This window comes from Homo sapiens, chromosome 5, assembly GCF_000001405.40.
Source record: "Homo sapiens chromosome 5, GRCh38.p14 Primary Assembly".
In the NCBI taxonomy this organism is placed as follows: domain Eukaryota; kingdom Metazoa; phylum Chordata; class Mammalia; order Primates; family Hominidae; genus Homo; species Homo sapiens.
The window spans coordinates 131,776,877-131,797,943 of NC_000005.10; the positions used below are offsets into that span (position 1 = coordinate 131,776,877).

At 40.0% G+C, this 21,067-nt stretch overlaps 1 protein-coding gene across 4 annotated transcripts in view, besides 2 other annotated features; it reads right to left on the minus strand.

Moving 5' to 3' along the window:
• The window catches only part of FNIP1 (folliculin interacting protein 1), a 155,304-nt gene extending 135,163 nt beyond the window's left edge, over positions 1–20,141 (minus strand). For all 4 annotated transcript variants that reach the window (NM_001346114.2, NM_001008738.3, NM_133372.3 and 1 more), the window contains exon 1: positions 19,954–20,141. In NM_001346114.2, coding sequence (NP_001333043.1) covers positions 19,954–20,045 — 92 coding nt within the window. In that variant the 5' untranslated portion in view covers positions 20,046–20,141. The remainder of the gene's footprint in view (positions 1–19,953) is intronic.
• Positions 19,755–20,034: a silencer, noted in NCBI's record as "silent region_16308". NCBI's record gives its function as "represses an Ori minimal core promoter by ATAC-STARR-seq in GM12878 lymphoblastoid cells {active_cell/tissue: GM12878}" and the evidence as "EXISTENCE:reporter gene assay evidence [ECO:0000049][PMID:35858748]".
• Positions 20,085–20,344: a silencer, noted in NCBI's record as "silent region_16309". NCBI's record gives its function as "represses an Ori minimal core promoter by ATAC-STARR-seq in GM12878 lymphoblastoid cells {active_cell/tissue: GM12878}" and the evidence as "EXISTENCE:reporter gene assay evidence [ECO:0000049][PMID:35858748]".

Consider the following 21,067-nt stretch of genomic DNA (forward strand, 5'->3'; position numbering starts at 1 on the left):
ACTGTACTGAGGTGTATGTTTACGATCCGTACACTTTTCTGAATACATGTTATACTTCAATAAATTGTACTTTAGGCTGGGTGCATGGCTCATGTCTATAATCCCAGCACTCTGGGAGGATGAGGTGGGAGGATCGCTTGAGCTGAGGAGTTCAAGACCAGTCGAAGCAACATAGCGAGACTCTGTATCTACTAAAAAAATTGTCTAAGATATATTAGCAGGGCACGGTGGTGCACTATTATTATTCTGAAGCTACTATACATATATATATATATGTTATAAAATAAACTATAGTAAGACTGTTAGAAAACAGAATTTTCAACATAAAAGAAATATTTTAAAAATTAAAACAAAATTTAATTTGAATTGGAACTTTCAGTTAACTTTTTTTTTTGAACAAGAGAAATTTTGTATCTCTGTTTTGTACTCTGAAAACACCTAGAAATAATGATGACCAGTGACAATGAAGATCTCTAGAATACAGTGTGATACTAAATGCTGTTCCTACCAAAAGGAACTGGAATCGCTGGGAAAAATGGTCCTGTCGTAAAAACATGCTTGGAATAACACACGGTGCCCGAAAAAAACTACTAAGGTAATGTGAGAAGAAAATAGGTGCCCATCTAAAAGGGTCCCAACCAGCCAAAGATGATTCACAAAAACATATCATGACTGCAACAGACTGAATCAAATACTAAAAAAACAAAAGGAAATATCAACCAAAAAAAGTTCACTGGTCACCTTTGAAAGCTGCTAGAACACTGAATCATTATTTTGAAAACTGGTAAATAAAACATATATACTATCTTTACTGAAAAAACTTATTTCAGAAGAAATGCAAACTATCAAATCATTATTTTGCAACCACTAATGATATCATATTGTGGTTCTCAAAGTGTGGTCCCTACACTAACAACATTAGCACTAATTAAAAACTTGTTAGAAATACAAATTCCTGGGGGTGGGGTCCAACATTCTAAGTTTTTGCTAGTCCTCCAGGTGATTCTGATGAATGCTAAAGTTTGAGCATCACTGAAATAATAATTACTGTAATCATCACCAATGGATGCTAAAACCATGAGGTGAATGGTTGATAGGCAACCCTATAATGGCAGGATCAGGTTGACACCCCATAAACCTACTGATCCATCTTAGCACCACTAGAAATGTGACAACCTGAGGTTCTGTGCTTTCTGGTACTTTCTGTTTTTTTGGCTCACGCTTGTAATCCCAACACTTTGGGGGGCCCAGGCTGCAGGACTGCTTGAGCCTGGGAGTTCAAGATTAGCCTGGGCAACAAAGCAAGACCCCCCTCTCAAAAACAAAAACAAAAAAAACAACATACCACCACCTATGACATTGTCTTGGGAAACAAACAAACAAAACCTGACTCTGAATCTAATCAAGCCTCTAGATCTAACTCTCAATTTAAAGAAAGTAATGTAGACAGAGGAACAAGGTAAAGTATACTGTGAGGAAGAAAGAAGACATTTATGCAGCCAAAAAACACATGAAAAAATGCTCATCATCACTGGCCATCAGAGAAAGGCAAATCAAAACCACTATGAGATATCATCTCACACCAGTTAGAATGGCGATCATTAAAAAGTCAGGAAACAACAGGTGCTGGAGAGGATGTGGAGAAATAGGAACACTTTTACACTGTTGGTGGGACTGTAAACTAGTTCAACCATTGTGGAAGTCAGTGTGGCGATTCCTCAGGGATCTAGAACTAGAAATACCATTTGACCCAGCCATCCCATTACTGGGTATATACCCAAATGACTATAAATCATGCTGCTATAAAGACACATGCACACGTATGTTTATTGCGGCATTATTCACAATAGCAAAGACTTGGAACCAACCCAAATGTCCAACAATGATAGACTGGATTAAGAAAATGTGGCACATATACACCATGGAATACTATGCAGCCATAAAAAAGGATGAGTTCATGTCGTTTGTAGGGACATGGATGAAATTGGAAACCATCATTCTCAGTAAACTATCGCAAGAACAAAAAACCAAACACCGCATATTCTCACTCATAGGTGGGAATTGAACAATGAGATCACATGGACACAGGAAGGGGAATATCACACTCTGGGGACTGTGGTGGGGAGGGGGGAGGGGGGAGGGATAGCATTGGGAGATATACCTAATGCTAGATGACGAGTTAGTGGGTGCAGCGCACCAGCATGGCACATGTATACATATGTAACTAACCTGCACAATGTGCACATGTACCCTAAAACTTAAAGTATAATTAAAAAAAAAAAAAAAGAAAAAGAAATCAGACCCAAATCCAAAATATGGAACATTCTATAGACAAATAAGTATGTGAACTCTGGGATCCTATTTCAAACATCCAACTCTAAAAAGTCATTTCTGAGACAATCAAGGAAAACTGAACATGGACTGAGTATTAAATATCAAAGAATCACTGCTCATTTTTAGATCTATTAGTAATTGTTTCAAGATTCATATTCAAGGATGTATACATGAAATGATAAGATGTGGCCGGGCATGGTGGCTTACGCCTGTAATCCCAGCACTTTGGGAGACCAAGGTGGGTGGATCACAAGGTCAGGAGATCGAGACCATCCTGGCCAACATGGTGAAACCCCACTTCTAGTTAAAAAAAAAAAAAATACAAAAATTAGCCAGGCATGGCGGCGTGCGCCTGTAGTCCCAGCTACTCAGGAGGCTGAGGCAGGAGAATCGCTTGAACCTGGGAGGCAGAGCTTGCAGTGAGCCGATATCGCACCACTGCACTCCAGCCTGGGCAACAGAGTGAGATTCTGTTTCAAAAAAAAAAAAAAAAGAAAAGAAAAAGAAATGATAGGATGTCTACAATTTGTTTTAAAATACAGTACCAACCAAAAAAAAACAGTAATAGTATTAATATTTAAAATAAGGTGGGGGAAAAATGAAACAAAAAACCAGAAATGTTGATAAATGTGAAATCTGGGTAATGGCAGATGTTAGAGCATGCTCTTTACATTTTTGTTAGAAATTTTTTTTAATAAAAAGCTTTAGGGATGGGTGCAGGGCTCATGTCTATAATCCCAGTACTTTGGGAGGCCAAGGTGAGTGGATCCCTTGAGCCCAGCAGTTTTGAGACCAGCCTGGGCAACATGGTGAAACCCTGTCTCTAGCAAAAAAATAATAATAATAATAATAAAAGCTTTAAAATTTTTCAGGAAATCCATGTAAGCAAGGGACACTGACACATTCAAAGCCCACTAAAATGACAGTAAATGAAATATATGTATGTATCTTTAAGACAAAGAGAATATGACAGGAAAATATCAAATGTAGAGACTTCAATAAATATTTGAAAGATGAAAACTAGCAAATCTAGCAAATGAATTTTCAAAAACACAAGTAACTACATCCTAAATGTCTACATATGGGAGTGTCAATGAGCAACCACAGGATTCATCTCAGAACCCAGAGAAGCAAAGTCCCTGGAAGCATAAAGTACCTTCAAGAATGGAGGAAAAAGGCACAGAACAGAAGTCTATGTAGGCATCTTATTTTATTGAACTCCGCTTTATTGCACTTTGCAGATACCACTTTTTTTATTTTTATTTTATTTTTATTTTTATTTTTTTTACAAATTGAAGGTTTTTGGCAACTCTGTGTTGGTTCCATTTTCCAACAGAACATGCCACTTTTTGTCTCTGTGTCACATTTTGGTAATTCTAAAAATATTTCAAACTTTTTCATTATTATTTGACCTATTATGGTGATCTGTGATCAGTGATCTTTGATGTTACTATTGTAATTGTTTTGGGGGCACCAGGAACTGTGCCCATATAAGACAGCAAACTTAATTGGTAAGTGTTGTGTGTGTTCTGACTGCTCCATCAACCATTCCTCATCTCTCCCCCTTTCCTGGAGCCTCCCTATTCCCTGAGACATACCATATGGAAATTAGGCCAATTAATAACCCCACAATGGCCTCTAAGTGTTCCAGTGAAAGAAAGAGTTGCACATCTCTCACTGTAAATCAAAAGCTAGAAATGATCAAGCGTAGTGAGGAAGGCTGAGACAGGCCAAAAGACAGGCCTCTTGCACCAGTTAGCCATGTTGTGAATGCAAAGGAAAATTTCTTAGAGGAAATCAGAAGTGCTACCCCAGTGAATAAAAAAATGGTAAGAAAGTGAAACAGCCTTATTGCTGATAGGGACAAAATATGAATGGTCTGGATGGAAGATCAAACCAGTCACAATAGTCCCTTAAGCCAAAGCCTAATCCAGGGCAAGGCCCTAACTCTCTCAACTCTATGAAGTCTGAGAGAGGTGAGAAGTTTGAAAGTAGTATAGGTTAGTTCATGAGGTTTAAGGAAAGAAGCCATCTCCATTAACATAAAATTACAAGGTAAAAAGGCAAATTACCCAGAAGATCTAGCGAAGATAACTGATGACACTGGCTACACTAAATAACAGATTATCAGTGTAGACAAAACAGCCTATTTATTATCAGAAGAAGATGCCATCTAGGACTTCCATAGCCAGACAGGAGAAATCAATGCCTGGCTTCCAAGCTTTAAAGGACAGGCTGACTCTCCTGTTAGGGGCTAATGCAGCTAGTGACTTTAAGTTGAAGCCAAAGCTCATTTGCCATTCCGAAAATCCTACAGCCCTTAAGAATGATGCTAAATTTACTTTGCCTATTCTCTATAGATGAACAACAAAGTCTGGATGACAGCACATCTGCTGACAGCATGGTTTAACTGAGTATTTTAAGCCCACTGTTGAGACCTACCGCTCAGAAAAAAACATTCCTTTCAAAATATTACTACTCATTAACAATGCATCTTGTCACCAAAGAGCTCCAATGGTGATGTACAAGGAGATTAATGTTATCATGCCTGCTAACACAACATCCATTCTGCAGCCTACGGATCAAGGAGTAATTCTGACTTTCAAGTCTTACTAATTAAGAAATACATTTTAGGAAAAAGAAAAAAAAAAGAAATACATTTTAGGGCCAGGTGTGGTGGCTCATGACTGTAAATCCCAACACTTTGGAAGGCCAAGGTGGGAAGACTGCTTGAGGCCAGGAGTTCAAGCCCAGCCTCCACAACATAGCAAGACCTTATGTAAAACCAAAAAAATTAGCCAGGCATCGTGGCAAACACCTATAGCACTAGACACTTGGAAAGCTGAGGTGGGAGGATCACTTAAGCCCAGGAGTTCAAGGCTGCAATAAGCTAGGATCACACCACTGCATTCCAGCCTAGGCGACATGGAGACTCTGTCTCTTAAAAAAAGAAAAATAAAAAGAAGGAAAAGAAATACATTCTGTAAGGCTATAGCTGCCATAAATAAGTGATTCTTCTGATAAATCTGGGAAAATAAAATTGAAAACCTTCTGGAGGCCAGGCACTGTGGCTCACACCTGTAATCCCAGCACCTTGGGAGGCTGAGACGGGGGGATCTCTTGAGCCCAGGAGTTCGAGACCAACCTTGGCAACGCAGTGAAACCTCGACTCTACCAAAAAACAAAAAAACAAAAACCAAACACGCACAAAAATTGGCCGGGTGTGGCAGTACCTGTAGTCTCAGCTACTCAGGAGGCTGACGTGGGAGGCTTGAGCCCGCGAGGCAGAGGTTACAGTGAGCCAAGATTACGCCACTGCACTTCAACTTGAACAACAGGGCTAGACTCTGTCTCAATGAAGAAATAAAAAAGAAAGAAAAAGAGAAAGGAAGGAAGGGAGGGAGGGAGGGAGGCAAAGAGGGAGGGAAAGAAAGCCTTATGGAAAGGATTCATCATTCCAGAATATCCATGATTCATGGGAAGAGGTGAAAATACCAATATTAACAGGAGTTTGGAAGAAGCTGAAGTCAACCATTATGAATAACTTTGAGGGGTTCAACACTTCAATGAAGGAAGTAACTGTAGATGTGGTGGAAATAGCAAGAGAATTAGAATTAGAAGTGGAGGCTAGGCCAGGCGTGGTGGTTTCACCATGTTGGCCAGGCTAGTCTCAAACCCCTGACCTCAAGTGATCCGTCCGCCTCGGCCTCCCGACGTGCTGGGATTACAGGCGTGAGCCACCGCGCCTGGTCCGTTTCTTAAGTATTTCTAGATTAAAGTTAGGTACACATTGTTTTTTAAGACATAATGCTACTACACACTTAACAGACTACAGCGTAGTGTAAATGTAACTTTTATATGCACTAGGAAACCAAAAAATTTGTGTAGCTTACTTTTTGGCAATATTTACTGGCCTAGAATTGAACATGCAATATCACCTGTGTATGCTTATATACTATGAAGTTCCCTTTCCTAACCCCATCCTTTACACAGAACAGGTGTATTCTCTTCAGAAACTGTCAAAGAAATACCAGACTCATGGTCATTAGGACTTCAGAGAAAGAGGTTGAAAAACAGATCTGAAAAAAGAGAATTATGAAAAGGAATAAGAATGAGCTCTTGGAAACTAAAAACATGATAACTGACATAAAAATAGACACTTCACCCCCCAAAAAATGAAATCTCCTAGAAGTAGAATAGAAAACTAAGTCAGAAATTAGGAGAGGAAAAAACAAAACAGACCAAAAAAAAAAAACAAGAAATTTGAAAGATCAATACGGGAGACTGTCCCTGGAGGATCTAAAGTTCTAAAAAGAAGTGATGCAATCTAAGAAATCATGTAAGAAAATTCCTTAGAACTAAAATGTCTCCAGATTAAAAGCCCCATCAAATATCAGCAAATGAATTAAAAAACAAAAATAAACAAAATCATGAGGTACATCACTGAAATTTCAGAATGAAGGTAAAGAGAAAAATCAAGAAAACCCCCAAAAAGCTTCTTGGGGGTCAGTTATGGCTTTTGACTTCTCAGCTGCAATACTGGAAGCTCAAGACAATAGGGCAATGCCTTCAAATTACTGACTTAAAATGAATCTCAATCTAGAATTGTGTACTTAGCAGACTGCCAACCAAGCATAAAGATAGAACAAAGACATTTTCAGACTTGCAGTCTCAAAAATTTATCTCCCACCCTTTCATTCTCAGGAAACTCCTGGATAGATATGGTCCACTGAAACACAGGAATAATCCAAAGAGGAAGAAGCCATGGAAGCCAGTCAATGGGTAATCTGCCCCCAACAAAAAAAAAAAAAGAAGGAAAAACAAAAGGGCAAAGTAATTCCCAAGACAAGACAAAGGAAGCCTCCTGACAACACTAGGGAGCATACCTACAGGGCCAGCAGTCCAGACTGGAGCCAGAGAGGGCTGGAAGGTTCCAAAAAAGGACATATCCAGGAGGAAACAATATGAACTGATCAATTATCTGTCAGATAATTGACTAAGAGATAAATTGCTTTTAGAGGTTTTATGGAGCCGTTGAAGGATATAGAAATACTAATGATTTCAAAGAAAACGAAACACAAAAATTCAGCAATTACCTTCAAAAGGAAAGAAAACATAAAATACACTTAGCTCATCAGTGAACAGACATTTACGATACAACAATATAGTTAATTTTGATCATTCAACCAAAAATTCTAATATTGAAAGAATGAAGGAGAAGGGTATGTATGTGTGTGTGTGTTAAAGACCTAAATCTTTAATTATCAGGAAATAATAAATAAATCAATAATAAACAGTATATTTAATTTGTTTGAAACTATAAAAGAAGGCTGGATGTAGTGGCTCACACCTGTAATTTCAGCACTTTGGGAGGCCAAAATGGGAGGACTGTTTGAGCCCAGGAGTTCGAGACCAGCCTGGGCAACAAAGTAAGACCCCCCCATCTCTACAAAAAATAAAAATTAGCTGGGCATGGTAGCTCTTGCCTGTGGTCTCAGCTACTTGGGAGGCTGGGGTGGGAAGATCACTTGAGCCCAGATGATCGAGGCTGCACTGAGCCATGACCACGCCACTGCACTCCAGCCTGGGCGACAGAGTGAGACTGTCTCTCAAAAAAATAATAATAAAAACAAAAATATTAAAGTAAATATTCAAAAAAAAAAACAGCAAAAGTAATTGAAAAAGCAGTTTGCCTCTAAGATCAGGACTGGGTTTGAGGCACGGTGGGACAGGGAACTACTATCATAAGTAAATTTCTTATAACTATATATATATCATATATATATGATATATATGACTATATATATGATATATATGACATATATATGATATATATGACTATATATATCATATATATGATATATATGACATATATATATGATATATATGACTATATATATATCATATATATGATATATATGACTATATATATAGTCATATATATGATATATATGACTATATATATATCATATATATGATATATATGACTATATATATATCATAACGCTATTGGGCAGGGCAAAATTCAACACATAATATTTTGAGTCAGATTTTAACAAGTAGGCCGGGCACAGTGGCTCACGCCTGTAATCCCAGCACTCTGGGAGGTTGAGGCAGGTGGACTGCTTGAGGTCAGGAGTTCAAGACCAGCCTGCCCAACATGGTGAAACCCCGCCGCTACTAAAAATACAAAAATTGGCCGGGCGTGATGGCAGGCGCCTGTAATCCCAGCTACTCAGGAGGCTGAGGCAGGAGAATCACTTGAACCCGGGAGGCGGAGGTTGCAGTGAGCCAAGATTGCATCACTGCACTCCAGCTTGGGCAACAGAGACTCCGTCTCAAAAAAAAAACAAAAAACAAAAAAATTAACAAGTAACGAGCTTCACCACTTAGCCAGTCAGGAGTTCCATGATTGGAACTGATCGTGTCACAGACGGTACATTAACATGGGGCTTTACTATGTAATCTTTAAAAAATGTTCAGGCATTTCGTTAAAAAAAATTTAAAATATTAGCCGGGTGCAGTGGTATACACTTGTAGTCTCAGCTACTTGGGAGGCTGAAGCAGGAAGATAGCTTGAGCCCAGGAGTTTAAGCCCAGCCTGGGCAGCAAAGTGAGACCTTGTTTCTTTGAAAATATTTATTTTTTAATATTTAAATTATTCACAAATAATGTCTATTTTTTACAAATGTGCAGTTTGTGTTTTATATTCTAAAGTAACTAGAAATTAATCAAAATACATACAAAATCCTTATTTATGGGAGTCATAACCGATTCCAAAACTTATTCTGGAAACTTATTCTGGAAAATGAGGCCACCCTTGCAATGTTTAAAAAAATCAAAATAAATAAAATTTTCCTTTAAATTGATAAACAATGATGTCAAAGAAAAATCTGCTTAAATTGCTCATTGAATGAATAACTTTAGGCAAGCAACACAAAACAGAAGCATCTTTGTTAAATGAATTAGAACTTTTTCAGTTCAGTGACTATTTTTATTCATTTGTTCATTCATCAAATATTTATTGAATGCCTTCTTTGAGCTGGATACCAGAAGTACAGCACTAAGTTAGACAAAGGCTGTGCCCTTATAGAACTTACAATCTAGTGAAGTATTAATATAGATATATAAAAATGCAATTAAAACACAAGCAAGTATCTGCCACAATGAAGAAATACAGGAAAAACATGGGTTCTATTGGAGCTGTAAAATACGTCACATCCAAAGTATTCCAAGCAGTTTGCAAACACATGAAACAGATTATTCTCAAGAAACATCAAATGGTCCTAATTAGAGGCTACCACTAGAGGACAAACTAAAATGAAGGCTGGAAAAGAGAAATTGGGGGATTAGAGTGCTATAGTTTGAATGTGTCCCCGAAGTTCACATGTCAGAGACTGAATCCTCAATGCAACAATTTTGAGAGGTGAGACTATTAAGAGGTGATTAGGTTATGAGGGCTCTGCCCTCATGAATGAATTAAGGTCATTATCTCGAGAGTGGGTTTGTTATAAAAGTGAGTTCAGCACCCCCTTGCTCTCACCCGCATTTTCTCTTGCCCACGTGATGCCTTTTTCCACGGGATCACCAGCTGCCAGCACCATGCTCTCAGACTTTTTAGCCTCCAGAACTATGAGCCTTATAAATTTCTTTTCTTTATACATTACTCAGTCTCTGGTATTCTGTTATAACAGCACATACTGAACTAAAGCAGGGGATGTGGGAAGAAATTCTAACATCTGAGTACCTACTATGCCATTTAATCCTCAAAACAACTATCAGAAGGTAGGTATAATAAATACTGGGACTATCTCTTCAGTATCTACTTCCCCCTCTTCAGCCAGCATTTTGTGGGAGACTGACCTCACTACTAGCTCCAGATGTACTACCACAATCAGAGCAACTCCATTCCCCTTGCCACAGTAACCAAAATAGGTAGTCTATGCCTAAGCCAATCAGGTCATGATGACCATGAATAAGTTCAAGGGTGATATAAACAGCACCGAGTTTAGGACTTTTGCTGAAAATCTTGGAGTACAGAGTCTTGTCTCCTAGGCAGAGTGGTATGAGATAACAGATCAAGAGGCACTGCTTCTAGCATTACCTAATGACAAAAGAGAATGAAGCCTGAGGACTCAGCAATTAAGTGTGAGAACTCGAGTTTGAAAACCAAGTGGTCTGATTTCAGAATTAAGAGATGCAAGCATACACACAGACACCCCGCAGTACTGGGGCATGGATCTGAACTCATCAAGTCCATCACACCAGCTACAACTTGATAAAAGGCTGATAAGCCAAACTGAGGACTTTGAACTTGGTTAAGAACAAAGGCTCTAGAACTTAAACATCTAAGTTCAAATCTTAATTTCATCACTTAATAGCCACGTGACATGGGGTAAGATACTTAATTTCTCTGTGCCTGTTTCCTCATCAATGAAACAGGGATAATCAGACCTCTTTATAAAGCTATTGTGAGAATTAAATGAGTTAATAGGTGTAAAGCACATAAAACAGTGTGCAGCACAGATCAATCCTCATTGCTTAATGAGGAGTCAAGACTTCTGAGTGTTTTGATTAGAATTATGATCTAGGAAAATCAATTTAGAAGAACAGTGTGGGGCCAGGTGCAGCAGCTCACACCTGTAATCCCAACACTTTGAGAGGCCAACGTGGGACCACTGCTCGAAGTGAAGTTTGAGGCTGCAGTGAGCTAGGATTGCGCCACTGAACTCCAACTCAAGCCTGGGTGACACAGTGAGACCCTGTCTTCCTGCTGAAAAAAGTAGTAGTATGGTGTGGAGGGGAACACAGAACACACAAGAAGTGGGAAAGTAATGGAAAAGTTTCAAGAAAGGCATCAACGGTTTGTATAAGGTGATGACAGTGGAAAATGAAAAAGAACTGAAGCTACTAAGAATCTGAATCAACAGGACTTAACAAATGAGCAAATATGGCAATCAAAGACTAGGAGGAATAAACAATGATCTCTGATTTTCAACTTGGTAGACTAAGAGAATGGTGGTCCCAGAAACAGAAACAAAATCAAGAGAGAGTAGATTAGGACTCCTTTAAAATGAAAGAGGTTATCTTATGTTTTACATGGGAAGTTATTTTAAGCAAGTTTAAAATCAATAGGATTTAAGATAATTATTATATTAGTAAGAAGTGAGATCCAAGGCCAGGTGCAGTAGCTCACGCCTGTAATCCCAGCACTGTGGGAGGCCAAGAAGGGCAGATCACCTGAGGTCAGGCGTTTGAGATCAGCCTGGCCAACATGGTGAAACTCCCATCTCTACTAAAAATACAAAAATTAAAATAAATAAATAAACACAAATACAAAAATTTTTGGGCGTGGTGGCACGTGCCTGTAATCCCAGCTACTCGGGAGGCTGAGGCATAAGAATTGCTTGAACCCGGGAGGCAGAGGTTGCAGTGAGCCGGGATTGTGCCACTGCACTCCAGCCTAGGTGACAGACTCTGTCTCAAAAAAAAAAAAAAAAAAAAAAGAAGTGATATCCAAGTTTCATAAACTACACTTTAAAGCTGTATTTTTCTCTTTTTTTCAATAAACCCAGTGTAAAAAACAAATCTAATTCCACTACTTAGGGATGAAAAAGCAGATAAAATTAACAACCAAAATTATAATATTTGCACTTCTTACTGTGAAATTAAACTACCATATGATCCAGCAATCTGTCTACTGAATATATATCCAAAAGAAAGAAAATTAGTATGTCAAAGAAATATCTGCACACTCATATTTACGGCAACAGTATTTACACTAGCCAAGATATGCAATCAACCTAAGTGTCCATCAACAGATGAATGGATAAAGAAAATGTCGTATATATACACAATGGAATATTATTCAGCCATTAAAAAGAATGAAATTCTATTATCTGCGGCAATATGGATGAGCCTGGAGGACATGATGCTAAGTGAAATTAGGCACAGAAAGACAAATACCACATGTCCTCACTCACATTTAGAAACTAAAAAAGTTGATCTCATAGAAGTAGAGTAGAATAGTGGTTACAAGAGGCTGGGACGTGTATAATCCAATCAATTAAAAATACATATATTTAAAATAAATTAAGTAAAATAAAAATTCTTGTGGGTATGACAAATTTTTAAAAATCCCATTTAAAAAACAAAACTTCTGAAACATGATTCTTATAATTGTTGGTAATATTATGAAGCTAGCTTTTAAGAACTTCAGAAGCTCAAAATGTGACATAAAATCAGAACACTGCAAGTGAAAAAATAACTCGGCACTACAGAATATTTATCCTATAGAAATAATAGAAAGTTAAGTAGTGGGGCCATTTCCTCACATTTACTCCACATCTATCTCACTTTTCCCCCCAAACATTTATCCTCCCTACCAAAAAACCATCAAGGTCACCAATTTCCTCCATCTTGACTAATATAATGGACACTTTTCTGTTTCTCATTTCACGAGACCTGTCAGCAACCAGTATACAAACAATTTATCACTCACTCTATCATTTTTTAAACACTTTCTTTTCTTGGCTTCCCTAACACCACACATCCCTGGCTTTTCCCTATCTATCTTCTTGGTATATCTTCCTCTCTCAGATCTGTGTATTTTAACACATCCTCAGGGCGAAGCCCTCCGTCCTTTCCACTTCTCTATCTACACCCTTTTCCTAGATGATCTCTTCCATTCTGTAGTTTTAATACTAACCATACACACAAACTCATATCTGCAATCCCAATCTCTACTGTGAACTCCAGACTGACTTTATTAAACTGTCATCTCTACGTGGGCATCTCAATGGCAATTAAAACCAGACCAAATATCCAAAACAGAACTTTTGACCCTCTCCCTCTGCCCTTAAAATTGTTATTTCATTTATTCATTCTACAAATATTTCCTCAGCATATGCTCAGGCACTGTGCTGTCCACTGGCACAACAATGTGAACTTGGGGGAGACAAATTATAATAAATTATTAAAAGAGCTATAATGGATATAAAGTGTGTGTTCTGACAGAAAATGGGGAGAAGGTGGCTATTTTTGATAGCGTGTTTAAGATCAGCCTCTATACTGGCCTGGGCAACGTGGCGAAACCCCGTGTCTACAAAAAATAAAAAATTAGCCAGCCATGATGGCCCACACCTTGCAGTCCCAGCTATTCGGGAGGCTGAGGTGGGGAGATGGCTTAAGCCCAGGAGGCGGAGGTTGCAGTGACCCAAGATCGCACCACCGCTCTCCCGCCTGGGCGATAGAGCAAGAACCTGTCTCAAAAAAAAAAAAAAAAAAAAAAAAGGCACCTACTTAGTTGCTCCAGCCAAAAACCTAGGCATCTATTCCCCATACACAACCCCTTACGTGAATTTACAGAGTTCTGACTATAAAATAAATCTTGATGCTTAACACTGAAGAAAAGGCTCAAGTAAGCAAAGAAGAGAGACGTGGACAATGACAACTATGACAGATGTCACAGAAGGACATGCAATAAGCTATGAAACAAAGTTACAGTCAGACCTACTCTAGTCTGGAAGAAATCAGAAAAGGCTTCCTGGAGGAAGTAGTAATTAGAATAAGCCCAGATGATCACTACAAAAAGCCAAACAAAAAGGTATAAGGGACTATATCAAGAACAGGGAGCAGTACAGCTTGGCACATCCCAGAATCTAAAATAAATCAAAGGTGATAAACTCTTAGAAGGAGGAGTGTAGATTAAGACATAGGCCAGAAGAAAGCAAGAAGTTATCAAAGATTAATGAGGTCATGTCAAAAAGAAACAGAAGTCAACCTAAAAAGGCTTCCATTGGCCAAATATGAGACAATTTGACAGGAGTGGATTAAAACACACTAAAATCCAATAGCTCATGATAATCTTTTAAGATGATAATTAAAACAAAAAACCTGCAGTGAACAGCTCATTACCAATTACTTTGGAAAATGACAAAGGGAAATCACCTTTTATGCTCCCTTTTCTGTAGCAAGGAGTAACCAAATAGTTGATAAAAGTTATTCCAGCAAATAAATGCATAAAAAATTAGAGAATCAGGATATCACCATTTTGCAAACTCTAACAAAATAATGAATTCAGGCAATGATCAACAAAGAATGCTAAAATCATTAGTTAAAGGGCAAATTATGTAATAGAAGAATAAGGCTGATACCACCTGAAATCACTACAAGTGGGGCAACCAGGTAGGTAACTTTGATGAATAGGAAGTACACAACATCTACAAAATAATTTTATTGAAAAAAAGGGAATGTAAATATGATAAAATATCTAAATCGAACTTCAAGTTTTCAGGAAAGACAAGAAACAGAGAAATAGGTTATAGCAAACTTACAGCAAACCTGAGCATCAGAATTGCCTGGAGGGGCTTTTTAAACCACATATTGCTGGGAAACCATAAGACTGGAAAAGCCAAACACAGAATGTGGGGAATTTCACATTTAAGTGGGGGAGGGCTGTTATAGAATAAAATTTACTTAAGCTGCCTAACTGCAAATGCAATATACAGACTCTTAAGACTGATTCAAACAAAACTACCATAAAAAGACATATTGAGATGACACCAAATTGGAATATGGACTAAGAATGGCTTTTATTAAGGAATTTCTGTTAATTCTATTAACAATAATACTATAGTGGCTTTTTTAAAAAATGTCATTATGGAAAGAAAAAAAAAAAGTCAAGGCTAGCAAATTAGCAAAAGCCATACTATGTAGAATGGGCAAAAGCCATCCTTTAATGAGTCTGGGCCCAAACTAAGTGGTTTTTACACAAAACTGATATAACAGTAACAACTACTTCTGGTTCCTGAAAGCCATGTGCTAAGCACCACATTAAGTTCTTTACATGACTTATCTCTGAATCCTTAAAATAAACCTGTTATGAAGATATTAAATTCTATACATCATTTTGTCTCATTTTGTCTGCTGTTCATGATGATAACTGGCACTTTTTTTTTTTTTTTTTGAGACGGAGTTTCACTCTTGTTGCCCAGGGTGGAGTGCAATGGCGCGATCTCAGCTCACTGCAACCTCCGCCTCCCGGGTTCAAGCGATTCTCCTGCCTCAGCCTCCTGAGTAGCTGGGATTACAGGCGCCCGCCACCACACCCAGCTGATTCTTGCATTTTTAGTAGAGATGGGGTTTCACCACATTGGCCAGGCTGGTCTGGAACTCCTGACCTCAGGTGATCCACCTGCCTCGGCCTCCCAAAGTGCTGGGATTACAGGCATGAGCCACCGTGCCCAGCCACAATTGGCACTTTTTAAAAAGTGACATATTGAGGGTAGTTTGGAAAAAGGCAAGAGTGATCACAGAAAGACCAGTTAAAAGGCTGAGTACCTTAAGAATCCCTGATATAAAGAATCAGAATAAATGTTCATATATTTGGGATACAGGATGAGCATCTCTAGTCCAAAATTTTTTTGATCACTGACAAGACGCCACAGTGGAAAACTTCACATCTGACTTCATGTGAGGAGTCAAAATGCAGTCGACACTTTGTGCACAAAATCATTAAAAAGTACTGTATAAATTATGTGCTATTATGTGTACAAGGTATGTATGAAATAAAAATGAATTTTATGTTTAGACTTAGGTCCCACCTCTGAAAAAACACATTATGCATATGCAAGTATTCAAAAATCCAAAAAATTCCACAATCCAAAACACTTCTAGAACCAGGCATTTCAGGTAAAGGATACTCAACCTGTATAACAAAAATCCAGACATTATTTAACAAAACATTAATTATGCCCTACAAACATTTCACTTCAAAACAACCTTCTTTGCCAAATTAGTTTTCAGGAATTTTATTTAAAACAATCTTTTTTTTTGAGACAGGATTTCACTCTGTTGCCCAGGCTAGACTAGTGCAGTGGCGCAATCATGGCTCATCACTGCAGCCTTAACCTCCCAGGCTAAGCAACCTCCCACCTCAGCATCCTGAGTAGCTAGGACTACAGGTGCATGCTGCCACACATGGCTAATTTTTTATATTTTTTGTAGAGACAGGGGTTTTGCCATGTTGCCCTGGCTGGTCTTGAACTCCTGGGCTCAAGCACTCCTCCCGCCATGGGCCTCCCAAAGTGCTGGGATTACAAGTATAAGCCACCAAACCCAGCCCAAAATAATCACTTTTATATGTACTATAGTTATTGGGCTTATACTTTTTACTTCCACTGGAAGAAAATGGAGAGAACATAAAGCAATATTTTCTACTAGAAACAGCCTTTTCTCCCAAATTCTTGAAATGGAGAAAACAAATTACTGTCTCAATTCTATAAATGACTGAAAAAATACACTCCCCATAATATTTTTCAAACTCATCTCCAGCTCAAGAATCTTAGATAAGCACATAGAAATCGATATGGTAAGAGACCTTAGAGTGAAGACAAGGGAAGGGGGTATTTCCTGGCCATCTCTTCCAATGGGGTAACCATAAAAGACAATACAGAAAGGTTCCTAAAGCTTCTTTATCGGAAGTCTCTCCTATTCTAAAGTCCTGCTGTGGCTTACAATTACTGAGCTTTGTATATTGGTTACTCTAGGAACTGCCTCTTAGGGACTGAGCTACAGTTAGTTGCCAATGGCTAACTACACCCAAGCCTGATTTAACAATTTAGGCTGACTAGAACAAAACAAAACACCCAAAAAAGGATTCCAGCAATGAAAGCATGGTATACTAGAATGAAAACAAAATGTTAGTCTACTCAAAAACCTGGGTTATATAAAAAGATGCTGAATATGATCTTCGGGAAATGCAAATTAAAACCACAAGATACCACTAGAATGGCTATAATCAAAAGAATAAAAAAACGATTAAGACAGTAAATTTTGGCCAGGCATGGTGGCTCATGCCTGTAATTACAGCACTTTGGGAGGCCAAGGTGGGAGGATACTTAGGAGCCTACTCAGGAGGCTGAGGTGAGAGGATTACTAGAGCCCAGGAGGTCAAGGCTGCAATGAGCCTTGATTGTATCATGGCACTCTAGCCTGAGCAACAAGTGAGACTCCATCTAAAAAAAAAAAAAAAAAAAAAAAAAGTAAATTTCATATTTTTTTTACAATAAAAATTTTTAATTAAAAAAGAACAAAAATAACAATATCAATATTGAAGAGATTGTGAAGAACCTGTAACCTTCATGCATTGCTACTGAGAATACAAAATGGTACAACTATTTTGGAAAAGTCTGACAATTTTTTTTTAAAGTTAAACACAACATTTAGCACATGACTCTGCAACCCCACTCCTAGATTTCTATCCAAGAGAAAAGAAAATATATGTCCACATAAAGATTTATACACAAACATTAACAGCAGCATTATTCATAATAGCCCAAATCTGGGGAAAAAATATGTCCTCCAACTAGTGGCTGAATAAACAAATCATGGTATAGCCATACAATGGAATACCATTCAGTGATAAAATTGAAGGAACTGGCTGGGTGTGGTGGCTCATCCCTGTAAGCCCAGAACTTTGGGAGGCCAAGGTGAGAGGATCCCTTGAGCCCAGGAGGTTGACAGTGTATTAAGCGTGGTCACGCCACTGTACTACAGCCTGTTGACAGAGTGAGAAAAAAAGGAACTAATAAATGCAACAAACAAGACAGACACAAGACTATGACAGAAAGTATCAGTGACTGCCACGGGTGAGGAGGAGTTAGGCTACAACAGAGCATGAGGGAACTTTTTGGGTGATGGAAGTGTTCTAAAACTTCATGGGGGTGGTGGGTACACAACTGTATACGATGTATGCTTAAAATGTATTTATACTTTATTGTGTATAAATTATAGCTCAATGAAATAGTTTTTAAAAAACCCTGGGTTGATTAGATCTGTAAGTTATTAGCTATGTGACATTAACCAGAATGGTTTTTTTTCCTTCAGATATGCCTATTCTGTTTCATCAGTTTTCATTTCTCACATGCACAAGTTTTATTTTTAAAGTGAGAGATTCCATAATGTACTGCAGTTATTGGGCTTACAGATAATTCTTACTTCCACTGGCAAAAGTATATAGTTATCTGCACTGCTACTTGCTCTATCTCGTAAGATTGCTGTGAAACATCAAATAAGATAACTGATGAGAAAGTTCTTTGGTAACTGTAAAATAGTATTACGCAACTATGTAGTAGACTTTACATTTTTGAAAACCAGACGTGAAAATGTTTTTTCATATGAGTGACTTGAGAGCCTTGTAAACCTACGTACCCAAAGTCAATCTTTGTCCAGAAATAGAAAGCAGTTGTCTATTCAAATGCCACCTTTTAAATATCCTATCGGAACCTGTTTCCTATTGTCGCTTGAGTTACTAGATGGCTCAATGTAGTATTATCTAACCTGCACTTTCATTTTTCAAAGGAAAAACACTAAAGAAATGTTTAAAGAGAGACAGATGAGCATGACACATTTATTTTTCAGGGGAAAAGACAGATACGTAGAAAAACCTCTTCAATTCCATATGCATTTACTGAATTTTTCCTGATGAGACCTGCATTAGCAAGAGAGAGTGAATAATTTTAAGAATAGCAAAATTTCTTAAACCAGTGTGGCAACTTCGCCTGTTCCAAAATTTGACAGATTCTCTTTTTTTATTTTTATTTTATTTTTTTGTTTCTACTATTGTTGTACAACTGGGCTCTTTGCTATCCTACCAAGTTTAAAACGTGTGGCATTTGACATTTAGCCTAGTTATATTTGCAAGTTTCCACACTGCAATACGTATAAAGGCTGTTTGGACATAATCTCCTCAGGTGCAGTTTAACGACTAAATTTTACCTTGAATTCAGGTTTATATCAAATCTTACAATTCTGAAAAGTTACTCTGCCAGCAACAGGTACTACAATGAAAAATTAACAAAGCCTGTAACACTACAAAATGCTCTACTAACATTTTCAATTTTTAAGACTCCTTTTCAGTAACAATTCGAGGAGGAAGAATCTACAGCCAATTCCAAGGCCAGATTTCATTCAATTTGGTCTTCCTTCGGCAGTAACCCTAAACTCAAGTTTCACATTTCTCCTTCGATAACATTAAGGTCGCTCGGTCCGGTTACTGCACACCTCCAATTTTAGCGTCCAAGAAACCTGAAAGAACGGCACGTTGCCTACTCGCTCCTCCAGCCTTCTCTCAACTCAGAAGCTTGGCCAAACGTGCCGCTCTCTCCACAACGCCAACGGAGCTGGAACGCAGCGCCCGGAGGACAACTGGTCACGGGGAGGAGGGGAGAACTTCGCGGCCCGGAGTACGGCGGCTGAGGTCCAATCCAGCCCGCGCCCAACTCTACTCGGTGCCAGGAAGGCGTGTGGACCCAAAGTCTCAGGCCGCGGTGCTAGGTCCGGAGGAGCAGAGTCGCGCGTGGCTGGGGGCAGGTCGTAAACAAACCGACGGGAGGAGGGGGAAGGGGCAACGGCGAGGCGGGTGGGGTAAAATAAAAGGTAGGACCTCGCTCCAACCCTTCGGCGCTAGCCCGCAGCCGGCTCCACCCCACCGAGGACCAGATGCTGCTCTCGGCGCGGCGCTTCCGCTCGGGTCGGAACACCGAAGGCCCCAACACCCCTGGAGCCCGGAGCCCACAAGGCCATCGGCTCCGCGACCCCCGCCCCACAGCGCCCTACCTGAACCCGCAATCTGGGTCCCGGGCGTCGCGGCCGGGCGCGCCCAGCCCGGTCCTCTTGCTGAAGAGCTTCTGGAACAGCGTAGGGGCCATGCTAGCCACGGCCAGGCAGGGGTCGCTCCGCTGGGCGCTTGCTAGGCCCCTGCTCCTACAGCCGCCCCGCCACCCCCATGGGCGCCTCAGTCATATGACAGAAATTAGTCACTTCAAACGGCCACGGCGCGCGGGGCGGGGCGCGAGGCAAGGCCGGCACTCATTGGCTGGAGGGGGGCCGCATCACGTGGCGGCGCGCGGAGCAAGGGGCAAGGTGGGGGCGTGGGGCGGAGCTGCCTCCCATAGGCTCACTGGCGGGTCCCGTCACGTGGCAGGGGCGGGGCGTGAGCCGAGAGGACAGGACTGGAAGGTGGCTAGGGATGTGTAGCGGGAGAAGGGTCAGTCTCGATCTTCCCCTGTGAAGCTGTCAGCGACCATCAGAGGGTACGCCGGGGTGGCGCGGGGACGATGCCAGGAGCCTTGGAGTGCAGAAGGCTTCGACTCCCCGCACCCACAGAGTTGCGTAGGGAACCACGGGCAACCGACTCTTCCTTGTCAGCCCCTCCCTAGCTTCTGCGGCTTCACACCTCCATTCCGCGCCGGGCAGAGTCTGGCGGCTCCTGGAGCACGGAAGGCCCACAAGCGTACCCGTGGGGCCGCGGCCAAGGCTGGACTTTGAGCCCAGGACCCCAGGACCGCCCTTAGAAGGCTGCGCCGGCCCGCGAGAGGTCTGGGATCTGGACAGCGCGGGGGCTGGCTCACAGGGACTGGTGAAGGAAACTGCCGGGACCCCTGCCACAGCCATGGCTCCCCGCAAAGACGACCTCGAGCAGGCACTGCGGGCAGTTTGTACTAGCGCCTAGAACCCTGACACCGGGAATTAGTCTCTTGGAAGAGCTAGCGATTGGAGGCTCAGGAGTTAGGCTGTTTCCTTGTTAACCAACAAAATCAGGTGAAACCAACGAAGTCAGGAAGCCTAAAGACATATATGTACAGATATCTAACCCTTTACGCTAATTATTTAGATTTTTAATAAATCTATCTTAATGTTTAGGTATGAAGACGGGAGGAACTGTGGAATT